This window comes from Homo sapiens, chromosome 8 (genome assembly GCF_000001405.40).
Source record: "Homo sapiens chromosome 8, GRCh38.p14 Primary Assembly".
NCBI lineage: Eukaryota > Metazoa > Chordata > Mammalia > Primates > Hominidae > Homo > Homo sapiens.
In genome coordinates this window covers 102,239,395-102,257,444 of record NC_000008.11, presented here as the reverse complement: position 1 = coordinate 102,257,444, position 18,050 = coordinate 102,239,395, and the positions used below count along the sequence as shown (strand labels likewise).

The 18,050-nt window shown below is 39.2% G+C and overlaps 1 protein-coding gene, 1 long non-coding RNA gene and 1 pseudogene across 9 annotated transcripts in view, besides 1 other annotated feature; 2 read left to right on the top strand and 1 right to left on the bottom strand.

The window, feature by feature from the left end:
* UBR5 (ubiquitin protein ligase E3 component n-recognin 5) overlaps positions 1 to 5,172 on the top strand; it is a 160,428-nt gene extending 155,256 nt beyond the window's left edge. For 5 of the 8 annotated variants that reach the window (XM_047421848.1, XM_024447179.2, XM_047421847.1 and 2 more), the window contains one exon: positions 2,931 to 3,541. In XM_047421848.1, coding sequence (XP_047277804.1) covers positions 2,931 to 3,143 — 213 coding nt within the window. In that variant the 3' untranslated portion in view covers positions 3,144 to 3,541. Of the gene's footprint in view, positions 1 to 2,930 lie in introns of all 8 variants that reach the window. The other 3 variants (NM_001282873.2, NM_015902.6, XM_047421849.1) reach the window with 2 other exon arrangements.
* On the bottom strand, positions 5,271 to 17,994 carry UBR5-DT (UBR5 divergent transcript). Its single transcript, NR_125415.1, has 3 exons — positions 17,745 to 17,994; positions 13,324 to 13,440; positions 5,271 to 5,646 (listed from the first exon to the last, which is right to left on the bottom strand). It is a non-coding gene; the product is annotated as a UBR5 divergent transcript (long non-coding RNA).
* Positions 8,499 to 8,688: an enhancer, noted in NCBI's record as "active region_27748". NCBI's record gives its function as "activates an Ori minimal core promoter by ATAC-STARR-seq in GM12878 lymphoblastoid cells {active_cell/tissue: GM12878}" and the evidence as "EXISTENCE:reporter gene assay evidence [ECO:0000049][PMID:35858748]".
* SUMO2P19 (SUMO2 pseudogene 19) lies at positions 14,827 to 15,407 on the top strand (annotated as a pseudogene).

The following is an 18,050-nucleotide window of genomic DNA, read 5'->3' as shown; positions in this document are numbered from 1 at the left end:
AAGCAGAGTGAAGTACATTTAGCTGTTAATATGCTGTCCTTAGTCCCAGAAGATACCAGTTTACTGTTGCAACATGGCTTTTTATCTTTATCGCACTGCCTACATATGCTTCTCCCTGTATACATCCTTAATCCTTTTGACTAGTGCCAAGCCTTGACAGAATTTCTGAGTATTATCTTGATTGTTATCTGCATACTAGGAAGAGAGTAGCTTAATTGTGATATGTGGGTACTAAGTCTTTCAAAATCTTATTAGTACAGAGCCCCAGCTAACTTAGAATTATAAATTAGATAACAGAAGCTTTGATCTTAGTGGAAAGTCTACCTCTTAGTGGAACTTACGTCCACCCATCAAGTAAAACCATAACCAAATCATCCTGTCCATTAATCTTGAAAGGCAGTATGCTGCAGACTTTCTTGTAGAAATTTGAAGGACATTCCTTATCTAGAAGACCCTGGAAGATCCTTTCTGTACTCCTGGAACATTGCCCCGGTCTAACCAGCCTTAGTTCTAAACTAGACCACTTCTGGAAATATTTAAAAATGATCAGATTTCTAGATATATCCTTTATTTTATTTGAATAAGGGGAAGTGGTTATTTGTGCAGGAAAGAAAAAAATTGCAGATTCCCAGTTACCTTCATTCAGGCAGAAGCTTATTTTGGGGGTGGTGGAGGGAAGGAGGGGAATTCATGCTTTTAGCACTCCTGAATCTTTACATGGCTCTAGGTGTATTCTAATATTTCTCTGCTATGGTGAGATGGGTTTGTTCAGCAGTCCTAACTGCCACCTAGTTCATTTCTCAGCTTTTAGCCACCCTAGTAATTTTGACTTAGTTTGTTCCCCAGGTGGGTTTGATATAATTGGTCAGCATTTGACTTCTCCAGTCTTATGGCTCTTAAAAGTTCCCACTAGTCAATACCATAACTGTCCCTGTTGGTTTCAGGATCACCTAAATAGCTTAAGTTCTACCACCTTTAGTCAGTCTTTAGATTCAGGGCACCTTGTTTCCTTAAGACAAGCCCCATCTCAAGTCTGTAAGAACCACCAAAAACAGAAAGGATTGGCTATCTGGTATAAGTTCTAAGTCATCTATTTTAATCTATTTCCTAGTTTTAATTTCTGCCAGGTTTTTTTTTTTTTTGAGACGGAGTCTCACTCTGTCGCTCAGGCTGGAGTGCAGTGGCACAATCTCGGCTCACTGCAAGCTCCACCTCCCGGGTTCACGCCATTCTCCTGCCTCAGCCTCCCGAGTGGCTGGGACTACAGGTGCCTGCCACCACGCCTGGCTAATTTTTTGTATTTTTAGTAGAGACAGGGTTTCACCATGTTAGCCTGGATGATCTCGATTTCCTGACCTCATGATCCGCCTGTCTTGGCCTCCCAATTCTGCCGTTTTTAAACCAGTATTTCCTCAGTCCAGTCAGCCAACTTAAATCTCATGAGTTTCTGCCTTCTACTGAAAGAAAAATTTGCTAGTGACTCAATCTTAGAAAAAAGAAAATCTCCTTCTATAAAGACCTCAAAATTTCCTGTCAACAGCTTTAGTTTGTGAACCTTAAACTCTTATTGAAAATCTATGTTTAGGGTGTAAGCAGTTTATCATGGTATCTTCCTCCCCCTTACCCTTCTCCTCTTTTTGGGAAGTCATCCTTCACATATTGTTTGGTTTCATCCTGATGCATCTAGAGGACATAAGAATGGGGTTTCTGAAACAGTTCTCCCATGAATTAATTAGTCCTGCAACTTATAGGGTTTCCAGAGTTATTGGGTAAACTACAGTTTATTTCCCTCTTGGAGTGTTATAATTCACTAGTAAAAGTATTTCTCTTCCAACTTCTTAGAGATCCAGCAGTGAGGTCATCTACCCTGGTTAACCACATTCATCCTTGGAGAAACACTTTATATTAAGCTTGTTTCTTATCTATGAAATGAGTGGTTTAGATCAACTTCATCTCTAGAGTACCTGTTTTCTATTTCTTTTCAGATTTTATAGATCCTGATACTTAACTTTTTTTTTTTTTTTCTGTCCCTTTATATAGAATTCTAGATGAGCTTTCCCATACAACTGTGCTTCAGGAAATCTTAAGTTTGTTTAGGTTTCCTAGTCATTCTAGGAAATTGGATATACTTCATTGTTGTGCATTATAAAATGATTAGATTAAAAAAAAAGCTTTTCCTTAAGAGAGACAGACACTGAAGAATGATGCGTATGTATGAAGGGATGGATTGATGAGGAATGTTACATGTTCAGCAAACTATTTCAGGGAGGCATATCCTTGGTTAAGTTAAAAAGTGTAAGTTCACATTTACTGAGCATCATTTACACTGTGTTGCACAAAGTTTTATTACAGAGGTATGATAAAACTTAGTGTTAATATGGCTTATTGCATGAATTTTGATGCATAGATAGATGTTCCCCAATAATTACTATTATAAAATGATTCTGTATCACAATGTAGCAGTAAATACTTTTTTTGCTTTATTATTTTATTATTTGCATTATTTTGCTCCTTAATGCAAAATAACTTTTTAAGATAACCTGTGTGAGTTTTGAACCTAAGACCGTATCTTTTGTTTGGCAGCCTTTTTTCCACTAATAGACACTTTATGGAATTAGCTGCAAGAAAGGCTCTTAGAAACCATTTAGTCCAACAGCCTCATGTTACAGATGAAAATACTGAGGCTCTGTGACAGAAAGTCACCTTTTTTTCCTCTACTAACTCTAGACTTACTCCTTTGGGGAAAAAAAACAAAAACAAAAACCTGTCTTGAGGTATGAATGATCCCTTTCCTTTTTAGTACAAGAAAATATATTTAAAATCCAGTTCAAAATAATATCTCCTTTTAGGTTATTAACATAACAATAGGGCTTTGTGTATATACTGCCAGAGTTAAGAGTTAAATATTAACCTGTTAAATTCCTGTTCAGGTTTACTTTTGGACATCAAGCCCATCACTGCCAGCCAGTGAAGAAGGATTCCAGCCTATGCCCTCAATCACAATAAGACCACCAGATGACCAACATCTTCCTACTGCAAATACTTGCATTTCTCGACTTTACGTCCCACTCTATTCCTCTAAACAGATTCTCAAACAGAAATTGTTACTCGCCATTAAGACCAAGAATTTTGGTTTTGTGTAGAGTATAAAAAGTGTGTATTGCTGTGTAATATTACTAGCAAATTTTGTAGATTTTTTTCCATTTGTCTATAAAAGTTTATGGAAGTTAATGCTGTCATACCCCCCTGGTGGTACCTTAAAGAGATAAAATGCAGACATTCCTTGCTGAGTTTATAGCTTAAAGGCCTAAGGAGCACTAGCAACATTTGGCTATATTGGTTTGCTAGTCACCAACTTCTGGGTCTAACCCCAGCCAAAGATGACAGCAGAACAACATAATTTACACTGTGATTTATCTTTTTGCTGAGGGGGAAAAAATGTAAATGTTCTGAAAATTCACTGCTGCCTTTGTGGAAACTGTTTCAGCAAAGGTTCTTGTATAGAGGGAATAGGGAATTTCAAAATAAAAAATTAAGTATGTTCTGTGTTTTCATTTTAACTTTTTTTATGGTGTTTAATTTGTGGTTGGCTGCAACTGTGTATCATGTATATGGAACTTGTAAAAAAGTTCTCGACATTCAGATCTTAAGAGATGAAATCACTTTTACCTATAAAAACCACTTTTATTGCGGTTTGACTGCATTGAGCTCTAGGATATTAAATGATATCACTAATATTTTGCATGTAATTTGCTCATTTGAGTGAGGGCACTTTTTTTGTACATATGATGGGGCCAATGCACAATACTTTTATCACAATCAACTTTTTCTTTGTATCCCTATTTCAATGAGCAGTCAGTCTCAAGAGGTTACTGCACTTCAGTTCTAACTAGACATTTGTACTAAGGTATTTCAGTTATGTAAACTCAGCCTGGGCACTTTCTGATAACTGTAAAATGTTTTATAAGATCATGATTATTGAAGATACATTTTGGAAAATTTTAAATGTTCGTGAGCAGCTTAACTACTTTTGTATCTAGCCTTTTTTAAGTATCTTGTTACATTTACTTTTTTAAATAAAGAAATTACAGAAGAAATGTCAAGTAATATTGAAGAAACAATAGTTTTTATTTATGTAGTTGTACATTTTTAAACTAAGGGCAATACACTGACATGGTTATGTGCATAAAAATTTTGACTTAAAGAACTGGAAGTTTATATACACCTGGACTATAAGAAACAGAAGAAAATCAGTCCACATTTTACAGTTAGCAGAGAATCCTAAATGGCACTGGCCTGGCCACCTTTTCATTTTACAAATGGGGGAAGTGAAGTGTGACCCCTTACTTGGCATAGGAAGTTAACTTACACCTAATAACTGACAGGTTTTTGTTTTGATGACCTATTAATTATGTAGCCTAGGATTAATATCCCAAAATTACTCTGGTTTAAGTAGCTTTATTCAGTGGCATAATAACACTGTTTTCTTCCTTAAGTCTTCAATGAAGTGACTTAAAACAGTCACTTTACATATTAAAAATGAGGAGAGCAATTCTCTGGAATCTCTCCTTTCAGTTCCTTTGTAGGATTTCTGGCCTTGAGGATAGTCTTCATGTTCAAAGGCACTATGCTTTTATTATATAACTTCCTTCAGAAGACTGAACCACATGATATTCTCAGCCCTGTTAACACTAAAAATATTTAAAACTGAATGATAGTAGTGACTCATTGTATTACTTAAAACTTATATAACACGCTGTATTAGATGTGTGTAAATTAGCCAAAGGTTATTTTACAAAGTGAGACATTGGTTTTTATGTCTAAATGCTATTTCTGAATAAATGAAATAGTAATTAGATCAAGAGCTGATTAGCATCAATGTGTTTGAAAGATATAAAATTTATACATCACCTTAACCTCTGTATGCACATGATGGGATTGATAAAATATTAAATGAGAACAAACTAGATATGATTAGGACATTTGAAACCCTAATTGTGAATTTATTTTTAATAGTTACTGAAATGAAAATATTTAAAATAATGCACAATGTCTTAAGTCTTCCTAAATCAAGATTTTGGTTAAAAAATACTTCTAATAATAGTAAAAGATTTTTTTTTTAAGTAAATCATAAAACGGTTCTAAATGTAAAATAAAGACATGTAAAATAAAGTTCTCTTTTGGTCTTGTTTAGTGTTTAAATCTAACAATTGAAAACAAATTTAGGAAGAGAAGACCAAGAATGAACTTTACTGAGTGTTTTCAGAGTTTGCTACTACTATTTTTTTCCCTAAATCATCTGGATACCAAGACTATCCAGTAAAATGGATAACTGGGGCAGACTTGAGAGGGTATTTTAAAGGAATGATTTCACTATTTAGTAGCTGCCCCCAAACAACATCCCTCCCATAAAGATACTATTTTTACATTTTAAAGGTAGTCAGCAATTCCTATGTTTAAACTCAAGTTGAGATAATCCCTTGAGGCAGTAGTTTCCATGCTTCTGTATGTTGTAAGATTCATTTGTAAAGTTTGTTAATGCAGATTCTTAAGCATTCCTCATCCTCTTGCCTCCTTTCTGATTCAGTAAGTCTTTGGTGGAGGCCAGGAATCTTCATGCAGATCATCCCAGGTGATTCTGAAACACTGCCCAAAGAATATTTCCTTTTTATTTACAAATATAAATGTCCCGCTGAAAGCTCCTGAGAGCCAAACCTTTCCTACTTAGAACTGCTTACAATCTATGGAAAAGTACATCTATTGATAAACTAGTCCTAGGTTGGATTCTTCCTACTGATAAGGGGCTGGTTGGAAGTGCCTTCAATAGACTGTGCTTGGGTAGTGAATGAAAATATTTTTACTGTTTATGTTAACCTATGTAAGTAGGCATAAACATAGATTATTTAAACACCATTTGATTACCACAGAAGTGATAGTTGTATGAAAAACAATAGGAATGTATTTAAAATGTGACTTTTAAATTTACCTCAAGGTATCTTGGGTTAAGCAAAGTATCTTCTGTTTCTCTAAATTACTTTTATTACAGTACTTACTGTGTGCCATGCATCTTGTTGAGTGTTCCACATGTATTATTTTACCCCATGAGAAAGACTATTATGATCCTCGAGAGGAATGGAGACACAGGTTAAACAACTTGCTCAAAGTTACACAGCTACTTAGTGCTAAAGTGAGGTACATCTCCAAGCATTCTGGAGCTTGTATATACTACACGTTGTGCTATAGTATTCTGTGGAAGGTATAAGTGAGTTGGTCATAGGATAATCAAATATTCCGATGCAAGTCCTGGCTGCATTATGAAAAGGCAGTAATTCATATATTTTTGCTAAATATTTCTAAAAAACACTTTTGTCCTGCATAATTTTCCCCAGGATAATAATTTGAAGATATGAGAACTGTCTAAAATCAACCATGGTACCTTAAAATGAAAAGCTAACTTTTTTGTTCTTGAGCTTTCTCATAAGGTATAAAGAGCTGCTTGCTCTAAAAGAGCAGATGTTTGTTTCATGGGTAAAATAACTCAATTTTCTGAATCTTTTCAGACTCTATTTTTAGCTGCTAAACTTTAAGTCAGTAGTTTGCACTGCTACAGGCTGACTTTGATACAAGTAGGATCTCTTCTGGAAAAACATTACCAGGCCATGTACTTGTATCTGAAATGCTGTCTTCAATGGGGAAGGTGAAATTTGGCTATTTACGATGTTTAAATGCATTGTCATTCTCTGGCAAGCTTATGGCATGGTTCTGATTAGATGTGTTTTGAGTTAGCCCTAAGAAAGTATCTGTAAATAAAGTGCTTCAGGCTCCCAGGTAGCCAACTACATTTTTATATGTTCAGTTTTGTCTAATGAAATCACAGGCACTGTGATTGGAAGGCTTATGTGACAATCACCTTTAATATATTTACTTTTTAGTAACTTTACGGAACAAATATCTAAATTTATGTTGTTTTCTTAAAAATTCTGCCTACATAAAAACAGTCATAGTGATCCTCAACTACCCATATGGAGGAGTGAGTGAAAACAAAACAGTCAACTGGGCGCCGTGTCTCACGCCTGTAATCCTAGCACTTTGGGAGGCCAAGGCGGGCGGATCACTTGAGGTCAGGAGATAGAGCGCATCCTGGCCAACATGGTGAAACCCCGTCTCTACTAAAAATACAAAAATTAGCTGGGTGTGGTGGCACATGCCTGTAATCCCAGCTGCTTGGGAGGCTGAGGCAGGAGTATCACTTGAACCAGGGGTTCAGAGGTTGCAGTGAGCCGAGATTGCACCACTGCACTCCAGCCTGGAGATAACAGCCAGACTCCATCTGGAAAAAAAAAAAAAAAGTCACATTGGCCTCAAAATATAGGCACTGAAGTCCAAGTACAGTGATTAAAAGGAGAGGGTTTGATTCCTAGAGTTTTTGATCATCAGGTTCCTGCTTTAACACAGACCAGAAATAGCAAAATTAAGATCAAGGAAGCTAGAAAGATGAAGGAAGCTAGAAAACATTCAAAAAGCACAACAGAATGAAGCCACTTAATGTAGAAATATTTGGTTAGCACCAGGTCTAGAAGTCTGAATACTGCAAATATTGTGCCTGCTACATAAGGATGACATGCAGCAGCTTTATCCAATTCAAAAACAGCACTCAAGGCTAACATTTACTTTAGGTCAGGATAGTTATCCACTAAAAACTGTTCTATATACTCTGGAAGAAAGTGGAGAAGCATGCATTTAAAAAGATATGTCCAATGTTGATTAAGATGTTTTAAAAGAAATTCTGTAACCCGAAATACAGGGCCTTGATCAAAGCAAGCACTTTTTTTTTTGAGATGGAGTCTCGCTCTTTTGCCCAGGCTGGGGCGCAGAGGTGCGATCTCGGCTCACTGCATCCTCTGCCTCCCAGCCTCAAGCAATTCTCGCGCTTGAGTCTCCTGAGTAGCTGGGATTACAGGCACTCACCATCATGCCCAGCCAATTTTTGTATTTTTGTAAAGACGGGGTTTCACCATGTTGGTCAGGCTGGTCTTGAACTCCTGACATCAGGTGATTCGCCCGTCTCGGCCTCCCAAAGTCCTGGGATTACAGGTGTGAGCCACCGCACCTGGCCCTCACTCATATTTTTTGAATGAAAGAATTTATTTCTAAAAGGTGCCAAATTATCTGGAACCACTATATTACCTATAATAAGTGCAGCAGTAGAGCACTATATAGAAAAGCTATGGTCCTTGACCTGGATGAGAAGAAATGTACATTTTCTTGATCACATGAACTTCTTGGAAGAATTGTAAAACACTGATTCTCTTATTTTTAAAATAAAACTTTAGCAGATCTTGGGACACCTGTTTAAGGGAGGCAAAAACTTGCCAGGTTTAAGGTACAGCAGCTGAAGTGTTTAAGTGATCTGAGAAAGTGAAAAAGAACTAAGGTTTCTGTGCAATTTTTTTGTCATTCTGTACTTTCCCCTACTGCTAATGCCCTAAACCAATGCAAGTTGAGTACAGTAACAAGAGGGTCCCTGCCCTCCCACAGCTATGACTTTACCCTAAAAGCTTCACAGATATTCCAACTCTCACCACTCTTGGTCCATCCATGTGCTATCTGAAACTAGTTTATGTGCTCATTGTCTGACTTCCCCTAGTGACCCTACACAATAATAGCAGAGGCTATCAGAAACTCTATCCTTGTTCACTTCTCTTAAGCCCAGTGTGTACCACAATGCCTGGTCAAAAATCATTTATGAATCAGTAAATTATATAGTTCCCATGTCAGAAACGGAATCATTCAATTCCCTCTTTACCCCTAACATTCATATTAACCATCAAGCCCTACAGTTACTATATATTGAACTCTTGAGTTAATCTACTTCTCTCCACATCCACTATCATTACCTAACTTTGTCACCACCTTCTACCTAGATTATGTCAATAGCTTACTAACCAGTTTCTGTTTATTGTTTTGCTCCCTTTAATATGTAGAGGCAGAACAAGTTCTAAAATGCATATTAACCATTTTACTCACTCACCTGTTTAAAATACACTGACTTTCCACGGATGGCTATGTAAGATGAAGTTCAAACTCAACAAGGCCCTTCATGATTGGATCTTGCTTTACAGCCTTATATTTACTTACTATCTTGTTATACTGAAAGACTTGCAGTCCCCTGGTGGGTTATGACCTCTATCGCCTTGGAGCCTGTATAAATACTTGCTCCCTCTGACCTTACTGCCCACTCTTTATGGCCCCTCATCTTGGAATGGTTAGTTCCTATTCATAATTCAGAATCCGGTTTACCCACCTCTTTGAGGTGCTCTCCTTGACCTGCCCTCCACCCTCCACCTTGACAAAGCTGTTTTACTTTCTTTGTACTCCGTCTGAACAATGTATCTGCTTGATTTTCCCTTCTACTCTGTAAGTTCCTTTAGTGTAGGAACTCTGTCTCAATTACCTTTTTCTCTCCAGTGCCTGGTAGAATGTTAAATTTATTGAATGGATTCAAATGACCAACTTCAATCCAATTTAGGAACATACTATTGTAATCTGTTGTTTTTATCTCACCTGGAACTCTGCACCTTTGAAATGTTGTCTTATTATCCAACTCTATGACCCAAAACTCCTGTCCTTCCAATGCTCTCACACTTACGAGTAAAAGAAAGTTGTCTCACTTCTTTTCTTCTGCATTTAGCCTAGACATAGCAACTTATTCTGAAACAGTTAAGAGGGAAAATGTTCTTTGTACTGAACTCGAAATTTTTTAGAAAAAATCTATATTGCTTGTTGATTCTTTTGCAAAAACTGCTTTACTTACTATTAATGTGACGGGTTGCTAAGTATGGCTTTCAGGTTGTCACAGCTGGATCAGATCAATGGCTGAGCCAATCAGTTCTGAACCACATTACTAGAAACCCCCAGTTGGATCTCATGAGAATCATGATCTTGACATGTCCAAAACAACTCACTATTTTCCTACTAAGACTTCATGGGCAAAAGGCACTGCTAACTGCCTAGTCTCTGGATTAGAAACTTGTAGTCATTGCTGGGCGCAGTGGCTCACGCCTGTAATCCCACCACTTTGGGAGGCTGAGGCAGGCAGATCACCTGAGGCTGAGAATTCGAGACCAGCATGACCAACATGGAGAAACTAGTCTCTACTAAAAATACAAAAATTAGCCAGGCATGGTGGCGCATGCCTGTAATCCCAGCTACTTGAGAGGCTGAGGCAGGACAATCGCTTGAACTCAGGAGGCGGAGGTTGCAGTGAGCCGAGATCGTGCCATTATACTCCAGCCTGGGCAACAAGAACGAAACTCTATCTCAAAAAAAACAAACAAACAAAAAAAAAAAACTTGTAGTCATCCTAGAATCCTCCCTCTACCCTACACTCCATATCCAACCACTGATCAAGTCATCTTGAGTACATTTACTTAACTCACATGCACGGATTCTTCTTGCATTCCCCACCACCACTGCCTTATTTCAAGCTTGCTTTATCCTGTACTGGGCCTATTCCAACTAGCTCTAAACCAATCTAATTCCAAAATTTTCACCTTCCTTCACACTGGAGGCCTTCCTGAATTATAAATGAATGGCTCATTAAATATAGACCTGTTTAGTGATTTTCAAACTAGGGTTCAGGATCTGCCAATTTTCCACAAGCATCTTATTTTGATTCTTAATATATATATGCAGTATCTTGAATTACCTGGTTGACCATTTATGATGGCACTGATGTCAAATAATACATAAAAACTTAAAGAATGGAATTAAATATGTAAATGACACATTTGTTCCTTATGAAAGGCAACTGATAAAAAGAGTTGTAGAAAAAGTTATCCCATGGCTACGATGCAAAAAAACATGCTTCATTAATGGTCACTATAAAATTCACACTGATGCAATATAGTTTCAGCAAAGCAACATCATCATCCATTGCTTTTGGTTGTAAACTGGAATTTTACCATTTCTATAGTCTTGTTTGTATTTAATTTATAGATCTACTTTTAGTTGTGTAAAGCTCCAAGAATAAGGAGTTTATTACTGGTCTTAGGTTTGTACATACTTAAGTAACAATACATATGTAGTTTAAGTCAATATCAAAGTGGCTGTGAAAATTTTTTTATTTAAAAGGGGTTGAGGCCAGGCACGGTGGCTCACACCTGTAATCCCAGCACTTTGGGAGGCCAGGGCAGGCGGATCACTTGAGGTCAAGAATTTGAGACCAGCATGGCCAACATGGTGAAACTCCATCTCTACAAAAATACAAAAATTAGCTGGACATGGTGGTGTGTGCCTGTAGGCTCAGCTACTCAGGAGGCTGAGGCAGGAGAACCCCTTGTACCTGGGATGCAGAGACAGCAGTGAGCCGAGATCATGTCACTGCACTCCAGCCTGGGCGACAGAGTCAAGACTCTGTCTCAAAAAAAAAAAAAAAAAAGGGCAGGGGTGTTGAGACATCAAGTTTGAGAAATGAGGATTTACCCAGTAAATGACATACAATAAGACAGCAATAGCTTGAAATTACATATTTTCTATACAAAAGGCTAGCTTGTCTTCCTAGGCGATCACCACACAAATCTCTAAGTGGAATGGATGCTGGACCAGTTACTATGGCTGCATAACAAATTATCCCAAAATTGGTGGCTTAAAACAACCATTTGTTAGGCTCGTGGATTCTGTGGGTTAGGAATTTGCACAGAACCCAAGATGGTGTTTTTCCTGCTCCATAATTTCTGGGGTTTTCAACTGGAAGGCATGACAGCTAGGAGTTGGATTCCTCTGAAGGCTCATTCATTCACACATCTGGAGGTTGATGCTAGCTGTTGGCTGGTGCTTCAGTTGCTTTCCATGTGGACTTCCCATGTAGTCTCTCTGTGTGAGCTAGTTTTTGGCTTCCTTTAGCATGGTACCTAAGCTCCCAAGGAAAGTGCCCAAAAGAGAGACAACACCAAAGCTATCTGTAGTGTCCTTAATGAATGAGGCTTAAAAGTCATGCATCACTTAACAACAGGAATATGTTCTGAGAAATGTGTCATTAGATTATTTCATTGTTGTGCAAACATCATAGAGTGTATTTACACAAACCTAGATGGTAATGCCTACTATACACCTAGGCTGTATGTGGTATTGCTCCTAAGCTACAAACTTGTACAGCATGTTACTGTACTGAATATTGTAGGCAACTGAAACACAATTGTATTTGTGTATCTAAACATAGAAAAGGTACAGTAAAAATATGATATAAAAGGTTTTTTTAAAAAGGCACACTTGTATAGGGCAGTTACCATGAATGGAGATTGCAGGACTGGAAGTTGCTTTAAGTGAGTCAGTCAGTGAGTGAATGTGAAGGTTTAGAGTATTACTACACACTACTGTAGATGCCATAAATACTGCATACTTAGGCTACAAGAAACTTATGAAAAATATTTTTCTTTCTTCAATAAATTAGCCTTACCTTACTGTAACTGTATTTCAAAAACGTTTTAAATTTTTAAAGCTTTTTGACTCTTTTGTAATAACACTTAGCTTAAAACAGTGCATAGCTGCACAAAATTTTCTTTCTTTATATTCTTATTCTATAAACTCTTTCCTATTTTTTAAAATAATTTACTTTTTGAACTTTTTTTGTTAAAAACTAAGACACACACATGCATTAGTCTGTGCCTACACAGGGTCAGGATCATCAATATTACTGTTTTCCACCTCCACATCTTGTCCCACTGGAAGGTCTCCAGGGGCAATAAATACATGAAGCTGTCATTTCCTATGATAGCCATACCTTCTTCTGGAATACCTCCTGAAGGACCTGCCTGAAGCTATTTTACAGTTACTGATTTTTTTATATATATAATTAGAAGGAGTATACACTAAAATAATGATAACTATAGTAAATACATAAATCAGTAATATAGATTATCACTATCAAGTATTATGTAGTGTACATAATTATATAAGCTATACTTTACACACTGGCAGATTTGTTTACAGTAGCATCAACACAAACACATGAGTAATGTGTTGTGCTATGACTATAACGTCACTATGATAGGAACTTTTCAGCTCCATTATAATCTTATAGGACCACCACCATATATGGGGTCTATCATTGACCAAAATGTTACATGGCACTTGACTGTATCCTATTTGTTAGAAGTTAGTATTAATAGCCGGGTGCCGTGGCTCACGCCTGTAATGTCAGCACTTTGGGAGGCCGAGGCAGGTGAATCACGAGGTCAAGAGATCAAGATGATCCTTGCTAACACGGTGAAACCCCGTCTCTACTAAAAATTAAAAAAATTAGCTGGATGTGGTGGTACTCGCCTGTAATCCCAGCTATTCGGGAGGCTGAGGCAGCAGAATCACTTGAATCCGGAAGGCGGAGGTTGTAGTAAGCCGAGACCGTGCCACTGCACTCCAGCCTGGTGCCCGAGCGAGACTCTGTCTCAAACAAACAAACAAACAAACAAACAAACAAAAGTTAATATTGATGGCCTATATGCAAAGGGAAGTGCATTAGACACCACCTTTTAAGGGGAGGTGTATCCAAGTTCTGGAACAGCATATGGTACCAGAAATATTGTTGTGGCCATTTTTGGAAAATACAATATGCCATAAAGTCCATATGAAGATGCAGAATCCTCTTACTCCTTGAGATCTTTCAGTTACGCGTGTTATTTTTTTCCATTTGCTCTTCCAATAACTTTGAACATCCTGGGGGAAACTCACACTGCCTACACTATTCTGAGTACTGTGATGTTTTTGCTGTGTCATTTAAGAATATTCAATTCTGCCACAGAAATTGAGAGAAACTAAGTATGGGAGCAAATGGCTTGTTAGACATAATGAAATTTGTAAGATGTATTAAGTATAAATAATAAATAATTACACTGTGAGGCATGTTAAAAATAGGATGAATGGAACATATATGTATTGAACATACACAAAAATAATGGAACACATGAGAGTTCCACTTTTAGATTAAAAGGGCTAGAAGGACCAAGTAAATTTTTTTTTTTGAGACGGAGTTTCGCTCTTGTTGCCCAGGCTGGAGGGCAGTGGCACAATCTCAGCTCACCACAACTTCCGCCTCCCAGGTTCAAGCGATTGTTCTGCCTCAGCCTCCCGAGTAGCTGGGATTACACGCTTGCACCACCACGCCTGGCTAATTTTTTATTTTTAGTAGAGACAGGGTTTCTCCACGTTGGTCAGGCTGGTCTCGCACTCCCGACCTCAGGTGATCTGCCCACCTCGGCCTCCCAAAGTGCTGGGATTACAGGCGTGGGACACGGTGCCCAGCCCCAAATAAATCTTAAATATTCATAAGGTAATGATCATGTTACTGCCAGACTGACAACTATGTTATCCCTAAACCAGCCACTCACTGGTGAGATCCACTCTGGCCCCACACGTGCTCTGTCCAAGAAACACAGATACCATCCATAGCTGCTCAGTAGGTTAATTATAACTGGTTATAAATGCAGTTATAGCTGGAGTCAGGTTCCAGCAGTTCTCCAAAAGAAAAGTGTGTGCTGGCTCCACCTTCTACCTGCTGAGCAGTCTTGCTCATCCTCACTATGGTCCTCATAACTACACCACCAGCAAGGAAGTCTGATGCATCAAACAGTACACGAACAGTAACATTAAGATTCAGATGGTATAATCCTTCCACTCTCTCCCCTCCCCACATCCTAACCAAAATATGTTAGTCCACTCAATCTCTTTCCCCTTGCTGTTATGTTTTAAAATGATTTAATAGGGTACAGCTTGTGTGCTTGTTTGGCACAGAACTGGCACCTGTTTTGTGAAGTGGCAGCTAAGAAGACTCTGGCTGACAGAAAGCCCAAAGAAGGAGGCAAGATTGAGAACAACAATCCTATTAATTTGAAGGTGGCAGGGCAGAATGGGTCTGTGGTGCAGTTTAAGATTAAAAGGCATATTCCAGCCGGGCGCAGTGGCTCACACTTGTAATCCCAGCACTTTAGGAGGCCAAGGTGGGCGGATCACCTGAGGTCAGGAGCTCGAGACCAGCCTGGCCAACATGGTGAAACCCCGTCTCCACTAAAAAAAAATACAAGAATTAGCCAGGTGTGGTGGCAGGTGCTTGTAATCCCAGTTACTCGGGAAGCTGAGGCAGGAGAATCACTTGAACCTGGGAGACAGAGGCTGCAGTGAGCCGAGATCCCGCCACTGCACTCCAGCCTGGGTGACAGAATGAGACTCCGTCTTAAAAAAAAAAAAAAAAAGGTGTATACCACTTAGTAAATTAATGAAAGCCTATTGTGAACAGGGTTAGGCAATGAGGTTGATCAGATTCTAGACTTCATGTGCAACCAATCAATGAAATAGACACACCTGTAAAGTTGAAGATGGAGGCTAAAGATACAATTAATGTGTTCCAAGGACAGGAGGTTTTGACTAAAAATGGAGCCTGCTACTTTATTACAGAACTCTGTTCTTACGGACCAAGAATGCATTTTCAATTAGAAAACTGCGATTTGGTTCCATCACACCCTGACTACTACAGTATAGTTTTCTCTATCATTTTCCTCTTCCCCATTACTTTATTATATGTATATATTAGTTACAATGTAACTATGTAAACAATTAAATGTGTAACTGCAAGATCTCTAGGAGTAACAGAATTCTACATCTTCATATAGTCTTTATGGCATATTGTATATGCCATAGTTATAATGCATAAAAGCGTATTGCATTTTTTAACCAAATGGTCAATTTTTTTTTTTTTTTTTTGAGACGGGGTGTTGCTCTTGTTGCCCAGGCTGGAGTGCAGTGGCGCGATCTTGGCTCACCACAACCTCCGTCTCCCGGGTTCAAGTGATTCTCCTGCCTCAGCCTTCCGAGTAGCTGGGATTACAGGCATGCGCCACCGTGCCCGGCTAATTTTGTATTTTTTTAGTAGAGATGGGGTTTCTCCATGTTGGTCAGGCTGGTCTCGAACTCCCGACCTCAGGTGACCCACCCGCCTTGGCCTCCCAAAGTGCTGGGATTACAGGCGTGAGCCACTGCGCCTGGCCCCAATGTTATCTTTTGATCCGCATCAAATGAAGATAGGATGGGCGGAGAAATATGGTTTTGTGAAGACTCCCTTCTCCATTAATGCCATGCTCATTCAGGTCTTATCTTTATATTCCAGTTCGTTATTTTGCTCTGTTTTAACCAAAAAAACCCCACACACAAAACAAAACACCATAACAGTTTTTGCATATCTTCTTCAGTTGAAGAATTGTAATGTATTTTGTTTATGATTGTAAAGCCAAGGACAATTCTTTTTTTTTTTTTGAGACTGAGTTTTGCTCTTGTCATCAAGGCAGGAGTGCAATGGCACAATCTCAGCTCACTGTAACCTCTGCCTCCAGGATTCAAGCTATTCTCCTGCCTCAGCCTCTCAAGTAGCTAGAATTATAGGCATGCGCCAACACGCCCGGCTAATTTTTGTATTTTTAGTAGAGACGGGTTTTGCCATGTTGGTTAGGCTGGTCTCGAACTCCTGGCCTCAGGTGATCCACCCGCCTTGGCCTCCCAAAGTGCTGGGATTACAGGCGTGAGCCACCGTGCCGGCCTAGCCAAGACAATTTTATAACTCTTTGTACGTGGCTATTACATGTAAGGCAATCTTTCAGTAATGACACATTACTCTTAAAAAAAAATCCTAGTTTTCCTTTCAAGTCAAATGTCTTGTTTGAATAAACTTATTTAAAATGAAAATAAATTGATTTAATAAACTGTGTGACTCAGGCATCTCAATTTGATCTGAGCCTTTTGAACTCAGCCATCTGAGTTCCATGACCCTCTGGGATGGCCTGACTCGTACGTGGAAGCTACCATTGCATCAAGGTAATTTCCCACCCCAATAAGTGTTTTACAAGTAATATATTATTAAATTCACACAACAACCTTATGAGGAAGGGATTATTATTCTTATCCTGTAGATGAGAAAGCTGAGTCTCAGAGAGGTTAATTGACCCAAGGTAGCATAGCTAATAAGTGAGGGAACTAGAATTCATGCCCATGATGATATGACTTTTTCACCAAACTCATTCATGTTTGTATCTTGAATACCTAAACGTGATGCCCGACACACAATTATTGTTTGATGACTTTAATTGAATCTGATTATTTGCCACGTGGCCTATAGTAAATTGAGACTCAGTTGCCTAGCAGAATGTATGTGGCTATTATTTAAAGTTCACAGATGAAAAAAATTTCACTCAGCATTTGACCCCTAGTAGTTGCTTTAAGAAAGACTGTCTACCCCTACGCTATGGCAGGTTTGAGAAAGGGCTTTCAGCATTTTCAACGCTTAAAGTGAGATCTTGATCCTATTTACCATCCTTCAGCCAGCCACAAAACAGGTGCATGCTGTTCAGGTCATGGCAAGATCCCGTCAATCTTTCAGCTTCAAACTACTTAAACAAATCTCTCTTCCATTTTATTTTTGTTAGACCAAACTATTTTTTTCAAAATATATTTTTTTCAAAATATTTGCCTGACTTTAGTAACGTGTCCCTCTCCCCCTCACTCACCCGCATTCACACACACACACACACACTTTCCCCCAGACACTTCCCCTTTTCGGTTGTTTACGCACGAAACCAGCCAGCCCTTTCCCTAGCGAAGTGTTTGGCGGTGTAGCTGTCCCGTCCCCGGCGCTTCCCACAGCAACAGCGCGTTCTCTTCGCCTCCCGCAGTCTCTCAGGACAGGCCAGGCTAGCGCAAAGTACCGTGTTCCTGGAACACCACGAGGGCGAGCTCGGGAATCTCGAGCCGGCCTGCAGGACACCTGCCGCACCAAGTGGCTAGAGCCCGGGGAGGGCGAGGCGAGGTGGGACGAGGCGGGGTGGTGAGCGGGCCGGGAAGGCGAGGCCGCGCGGACTCTGGGATAGCTCCTCAGGAGTGGGCGCCCGGAGTGGGCGAGCGGAGGAGGCGGGGCCGATGAGGTGAGGTGGGGCCAGCTGGAGTAGGCTAAGCAGTCCAGAGCAGGGGGCGTCCCTCAGTGGAAAGCCGGGCGACTGGGCGGTGCAACAGAG